Source organism: Homo sapiens, chromosome 21 (genome assembly GCF_000001405.40).
Source record: "Homo sapiens chromosome 21, GRCh38.p14 Primary Assembly".
In the NCBI taxonomy this organism is placed as follows: domain Eukaryota; kingdom Metazoa; phylum Chordata; class Mammalia; order Primates; family Hominidae; genus Homo; species Homo sapiens.
The window spans coordinates 18,482,006-18,489,910 of NC_000021.9; the positions used below are offsets into that span (position 1 = coordinate 18,482,006).

Here is a 7,905-nt window from a genome sequence, read left to right on the forward strand (position 1 = left end):
TTCTTTCACTTGCTTTACTTCAGCATTTACATTAGCATTAATATAATTTTATCTACGATATATTATTTCAATTATTTTATATACATCTTCACTTCTAATTTTTCTAAATATACTTATTGTATTGCTTCATTTTTTTCATTTTCTTCTCATCATATTAACCAACTTAAATTATAATATAAATAATTTTGATAGAGAGAATAGGAACATTATCCAATATGAACACCAATTTTGATGAAATTCCTGAGAATTAAATCTTCCAAAAACTTTATACATTTAAATCAGAATTTTTACACTTCTAAAAATAGTATCTTAAAATATATTCAAATAAGCATGTAATCTTAAAATTATTAGTTTTCTTTAGACAATAGGGTATGGCGACTATATTTAGCAACAATATATTATATATTTTAAAGTTGCTAGAAGAGAAGACTTGAATTTTTCACAAATACACAAATGATAAACACTCAAAGTGATGGATGCCTCAAATACCCTGACTGATCATTACACGTCTATGCATGTAACAAAATACCACATGCACCCCATAAATAAGTAAAATATTATGTACCAATAAAATTAGTTTTCTCCTAATTTTATTTATTTAATTTTATATTCCTTCAATTTTTTTTGTAATTGCTATATTGGTTAGGGTATACATAGAAGAAATGATATGATTTTACCTATTGAGGAAAATATTTTGTGTGATTTTTTAAAATTCCAAATGAAGCTTATTTAAATTGTCTGTGCCTTGGTGTGCTTTTTTCCTTATATTAGTCTAGGAAATCTCAATTCAACTGAAACACCTTCTTTCTAACTTATTTTATCTTATCTAACTTATCTAGCTTACTTTCTCTTTCTAACTTACTTTATCCTAGTGCTCTTGAATCTATTAATATGTAACTATTTCCTTACTGAGAGTCAGTTAAACAAGACTTCTTTATAACCTCTTTGTCTCTTTGCTTCCATTCTTTTAGATTATTGTTAAATTACTGGGTCCCAGGTGCAAGGCTTATTCTTTCCAAACAGCTGTGATTAGTGGAATACTATTAGTATCTATATTATTCATATGTGATTTAATCATAGAAATTCCAGTTTTACCTCACTAGAATTGTTAGATGAAATTTCTACATTCCCTATCATTTTACTTGTAACAATTTCCTTTTCAATTCTCAAAAATAATTTCTAATGTATATTTTCCTTTGCTTCTTTTAGTTTTGATCAAAGCGCACTGAGTTCAGATAAAATGTGAGTTTCCGGCAGGGAAAAGGCATCGGTATCCTTTCCTTGCCATTGCTATTTATTATTTTTCCAAACAGCAGTTCGCTTCTCTACACCCTGGGCTATTTCTCAACTGAAATAGATTGTACTCTGAAGTTCAGCAACTGCTTGTGATTCAGCCCTTTGGTTCTAACATTAGAGTTTCGGTTTTAACATTTGCTACTCCATGATATTTTTGAGACCCAGGGCAAATCTGTAAAGGTGTTTGCTGTAATTTCTTCCTTTGTAGTTTACATAGCGTAACATTTTTATTGGCAAACCTGTAAAATTCCTTTAGAAAATTATAAATACAAGCCTCGATTAGAGATTTGGGTATTTGTCTAATATGTCTGTGTGCATTATTCATAGCTGTATACATAATAAGAATACTAGAAATATATCTGGATATTATTTCAACATTTTTCCTTGAAGTAATTGTGTGATAATTGACAACTCATCTCACTTTTCTAGACTTTTAAATATATTTTTAAGGTATAGCATTTATACAAAAAATGCACAAATCATCATGCATATCTTTATGAATTTTCACAAGGTTACTACACCAATGTAACCAGAATCAAACAGAGAGAATATACCAGCATCACAGAAACTTCTCGTGTCCACTTCCAGTAACTGAGAATTATGGATAACCAATATGCCAACACCTAAACAACAGATTAACTGATCTTGTTTAGTAATCCTTATTTTTTATTTTATATGACTGGAATCACACAGAATACATTACTAGGTGCCCTCTTTTCTTTTCCTCAAAAAGTTACCTTTGTAATATTTATCCATGTTGTTGCATAGTTGTAGTTTACTTATTTTCATTCTTTACAGTATTCCATTGTGTAATCATACCACAATCTATTTAGTTATTCTTAGAATGTATTTGCTTTCTGGTGAACTAGGAAATCGTTTCCTAAAATAAATGTCAAGTCAGACGATGTATGTACATTTTTAATTCTAGTACTGAATTTACTCACAATTCACAGGATACGATAGCAAAACAAAAGCTTAGTCTTTAAGGAGGTCCATGATTGTCAATGCTACTCCCACAGTGCCTTTTATCTCTTGTATTAGGCCATGTTCTGGTTTAAGTTTAACATAAAAAGTTTAAGCAATATTTTTGCTAGGGTATTTGTTTAGTAGCATAATTGTAGAAGGATTTAATCAGACTATTTCCTTTTCAAGTATCCACATTAAAGGGAGAAAAATAGGCTACAAGTCTCCTTCTAACCTTGATCTTTTCCTTCTCTCTAAAAAAAAAATTTTTATTCATTCATTCATTCATTCATCTGTTCTTTTTTATACCTTCTATTTATATATGCAGACTAGCATACTTTTATATATGTAGTGATCAGGACATTATGTTTTTCTAGTTGGATTTCCAGTTGCCACAGTACCATTTATTAAAAAGAATTATCTTTTAATAAAGAATTCATTGTCATAAATAAGGTGATTATATATGGGTGAATCTGTTTCTGTGCTCTATATTCTGTTCCCACTCTCTATTTTCTTCCATAATTACCTAGCATCATTGGTAAATTGTCTTAATTACTACAGGTTTATCCAATATCTGCCACTGTATTTTTTCTGTTTTTATCTTTCTTCTGTAAGGTTGCCTTAACTGTCCTTAGCTCCTTGCATTAATTCATAAATTTTATAATCAAATTTTCATTTTCCTCATGAATAAGAGATTTAAAAAAATCAGATTGGGTAGAACTGTCACCTTTCTGATACTGATTGTTTTAATTCATTGAGTTAAGTCCTTTATTTTTGTTATTTGTGTTTTAATGTTTTAATATAGTTCTTATACATATTTTGTTAAAACCATGATCTTTTTGGTGTTTGTTGCTATTATAAAGATTATCTTTTAAAATTTTACTCTAATGTCTTTGTAATTGGTAAACAAAATGAATACCATTTACTTTTACATATTTGCTTGTATCCAATAAATTGTTAAATTAATAGATATCCTATGTACACAAATAATTTCATCTGTGAATAATGATAATTTTTTCCTCTTTATTTCAATCTTTATGTATTTTTTCTTGCCTTATTATATTAGCTAAGACCCTCAGTTCAATGTAGAAAAGACGAGGTGATAGTAAATATTTTTTTCATCCTTGATGTCATCGGGAAATACTCTTAATACTTAATATTTAGTGTAATATTAACTATTGGCCTTTTGTAGATAGCTTTTTATCAGGTTAGAGAAATTTCACACTATTCATTTTTTGCTAAGTAATCTTTTTTGTTTGTTTTGGTTGTTTCTAATCATGTATAGTTACAAAATTTTTTTCAGATGACTTTTCAGCATCTGTCAAAATAATTACATAGTTTCTCTTCTTTATTCTTTTGACATGGTGAATAATATTGACTTATGAATCTTAACTTCCCTTGAATTCCTGAAACAAGCCATATTTTGTCATAATTTACTGTAATTCTTTATTGTGTTAGTCTGTTCTCACACTGCTAATAAAGACATACCCCAAGACTCGATAATTTATAAAGGAAAGAGGTTTAATTGACTCACAGTTCCACATGGCTGGAGAGGCCTCACAATCATGGCAGAAGGCGAACGAGGAGCAAATTCACTTCTTACATGGTGACAGGCAAGAGAGCTTGTGCAGGAGAACTCACATTTATAAAACCATCAGATCTCGTGAGAGTTATTCACTACCACGAGAACAGTATGGGGGAAACTGCTCCCATGATTCAATTATCTCCACCTGGGCCCGTACTTGACATGTGGAGATTATTACAATTCTGGATGAGATTTGTGTGGGAACACAGCCAAATCCTATCATTTATATATATTCTTAGGCCTAATTGAGTAATATTTTGTTTCTAAGACAGATCTGTAACTGTCCTTTTGTCTCACAACTTTTCAGATATTAATCTCAAGATGATAGCTTCATGAACTTTTGTAACTCTGGAAGATCATTCAAAAACATTTGGAAATTCTGTATATCTGTGTTATTTCCATTTTAAGTATTTTAAAGAAATTCCTGGGGAAGCCATTTGATTCTAGGATTGGACTCAAGTTTTTAAAGTATTGCTAGTAGTATTATAGTGTTAAATGTTATAGGCTAACATATAATGAACTCTTATTTTGTTCCAGGAAAAATACTGACATAGGTTATCTTATTTTTTCTGCATAGAAACTCTGTGAGGTATTATTATTATTTTGAAAACTTGAGAATTGAAGTTTAAGGGGGATAAGCACCTTGCCCAAAGTGACACAGGTAGTTATTAAAAGAAGTTACTACATGTCTTCTGAGATCCCTCCTTGTTCCACAGTTCGTAGAAGAACATGTTTCCATTTTCTTGCTCTCTGGTAACAAACAAAATGCAAGCAAGTCACCAATGGCCTCGGCTGAATGTTACTTTAAAATGCACTTCATTCTCTACAACACTTATCCTTCCATTGTTAACATCCTTCCCGATCATTCCTATTATACTCCCTGGAAGCACATTTTCTGATAAATATAAAAATGAAAGTCAATATAAAAACAAAATACTTCAATTTCTTCCACATTTTCATAGAGTACTTTCTGAACCATTGTGTATTAGTTGAACTCCAAATGTATCCCGAAAATGGCATTTCCCTTAAACCTTTTTATTGTGGCTACTCATTTTCCTGTCCCATCTTCAATGAAGGGACTAAATCATTTCAGCATTTTTTTTTTTTTGCGGGTCTCCTATTTCTACTTTCAAACACTTCGGTGCAACATTTTGCACAATCTCTTGGAAGTTCATGCTCAGTAATAATACCACCAGCTGTGGGTATTTGTTGTCATAATATAGTGATCATTTCTCCAAAGAGATTGAGGAATATCACACTTGGATAACAGTCATTTGATTCTTCCATTTCTTCTTTTCTAAATTCGTATTGGATTACTTCAATATACATAAATAGGATCTACCAAATACTCTATTAGCATAACTTTTGAAATCATCAACTTTCACTTCAGTTTCACTCTGCTTCTAAAATGATCCTAGGTTGGGCCATGCTCCTTTATCTAGGGCTCTTATACTTATTATCTCAAATTTCAACACCTTGTTTTCGAAATATAACCTATTTGCCTTTCTGGCTATCATTTGTCCCTTAATCTAGGGCATATTTCCTTTGACAACAGTGTGATCTTCTGTGTCATTTCAACCATTTTCATTAGAGCATCTGCATCCTTTGATTTTCACAACATGAAAAAATCAGAGCTCTGAGTATTGGTTAATAAAAACTGTCTCCTTTTCCACTACAACAGCAGAATGCCCACTTTCATAAGGGAAAATACAGAAGAGTCCTTTGAACTGGTACAGTCTACATATAACTTCTGCAGTCTCCTCAGTGGTTCTGAGAAAGAATTTGCTAACTGGTGAACTTTTTTTTTTTTCTATTTCCCCAGTGGCAATTTTAATTATTCACTGTGTCTTCACAGTTGTTTTCCATGATCTTTCAACTTTCATTTTTAGCTGATGTTCTTGCCCAACTACTTCACTTGGAATAAAACAAGATTAGGTTAAAAAGATCTATCAATTTCTTATATTAAAATATGAAGACTCCCATCTGTAGCCACAACGACACTATATTTATTTTTCCATTGTTATCGGTAAAAATGTCTTTCCACTTATGTGCCTGAAATTATTCCCTCCCTTACTTGCCTAGGGGACTTTTTCTATCAATTCTCTCCTTCATTATTTATCCAGAATATAATTATTTAATTCTTACTGTGTAATTAACACATCACTAGATGTTTTGGATATATTGGTGAACAAAATAGAAAAACAATGTTTTATCTTGATAGGTAAATTATAATGGGAAGGAGAGGATAAATACTAAACAATAAATAATAAATAAATACAGATAATAGAATATTAGAAGCTGGCAGTTTTGGAAATAGAGTAAATCACAGTAAAGAAAATCAGGGGTATTTGAAGAGGGCTGAGAAGGTTACAGTATTTAATAGGGTATTATAATTGACTACATTGAGAATGTAAATCTTAAGCAAAAAGATGATTTGATAAAGAATTTATGAAATTATACAGGGATGCATTTCTGGCAGAGGTAACAGCTGGAGAAAAGACACTAAGTTGAAAGCATGCCTGATGAGTTTAAGTAATAGCAAGGGGACTGGGAGTTGCTGGTGTGGGCCAGTTAAAGAGAGAATAATAGGAGTTGATGACAGAGAACATTAGCTTGACAGATTATATAAGACCTTGAGGTCCATCGTAAGGACCTAGGACATTCAAAATTGATAGATTGAGACAAAGAGGAGGAAACAAAAAGATACTAAGGAATAGCAATCAGTGAGACAGGAGAAAAATGAAGAGAATCTTGTATCTTACAAATCAAGAGAAAAAACTATGCCTATGAAGGCTCAGCTGAGTGAAATCCTGATGATCAGTCAAGTAGAATAGGAAACACAAATGTACCATTGCTTTTGGCAATATGAAAGTTGTTAGGGATAGTATCAAAGGCAGTTTCAGTGAAATCATGGGCACAGTCTCAGTTAAATTTAAGAGAGATTGTGAGAAGAGGACTTAAAAACAGTGAGAGGAGACAATGTTTTTGCAGAGTTTTGCTGCAAAGGATAGCAAATAAGTCAGGTAATAGTGGGGAAAGTTTCAAATCAGAGACATATGATCAGCATGTTTGTATCTGAATCAGAATAATTAGAGTGTGAAATATTGAGTATGTAGGAGAAAGCAGAAGGAAAAAATTCTGGTGTTATATCCCTAAGTTGGCAAGAGAAGATGAGACCTGACTCTAAGAAGTGGGAAGGCAGGGAAGTGAATGCAGACTTATGGGTGAATAGGTGTTGTGATTGGTTATGTGGAAGCTCTTTTCAGATTGCTTCAGTTTTCTCAGTGAAACAGCAAGCACAATCAGCAACTGGGACAAAGGTAGGGGTGTGATACTGGAAGCTCGAGGAGAGAGAGCGTGTCAAATACTATTGAGAATGTGGAGGCATGAACATACCAACAATATGTGATGTGACGTCTGCCAGCATTAAAGGTTTGCTTAAAGTCTATTGCTATTAATTTATAGTGACAGCAGTCAGTGTATTTTTTTATTCACCTTTACTTTGCTAGATAGATGCAGATATGAAGTAGACACAGAAGTTGCTGTATTGTTGAATTTAACCATCATTATGGTTTTGCCAAAGAGTTCTGTTTTCATGCTGCTAATAAGACATACCTGAGACTGGGTAATTTAGAAAGGGAAGAGCTTTAATTGACTCACACTTCCACATGGCTGGAGAGCCCTCACAATCATGGCGAAAGGCAATTGAGGAACAAAGTCGCGTCTTACATGGTGGCAGGTGAGAGAGCTTGTGTAGGGGAACTCCCATTTATAAAACCATCAGATCTCCTAAAATTTATTCACTACCACGAGAACAGTATGGAGGAAACTACCCCCATGATTCAATTAACTCCACCTGGCCCTGCCCTTGACACGTGGGAATTATTACAATTCAAGGTGAGTTTTGGTTGGAGACACAGCCAAACCATATCAAGTCCAGTAAAGCAAGAACAGAAAGGAATCAGGGGTACTTCAGGGATTATGATGACTGGCCATGTAATTTGAGAGGGGACATTTTGGGGACAGAAGACCACAAAAAGGAAGAATCTCTGAACCAGAGA

General features: G+C 32.6%; 1 protein-coding gene across 2 annotated transcripts in view; it reads right to left on the bottom strand.

Moving 5' to 3' along the window:
- Positions 1–3,879, bottom strand: part of TMPRSS15 (transmembrane serine protease 15) — a 216,769-nt gene extending 212,890 nt beyond the window's left edge. For both annotated transcript variants that reach the window (NM_001428057.1, NM_001428056.1), the window contains exon 1: positions 3,794–3,879. The gene's annotated coding sequence lies outside the window, so the exon portion shown is untranslated. The remainder of the gene's footprint in view (positions 1–3,793) is intronic.
- Positions 3,880–7,905: the final 4,026 nt, after the last annotated feature.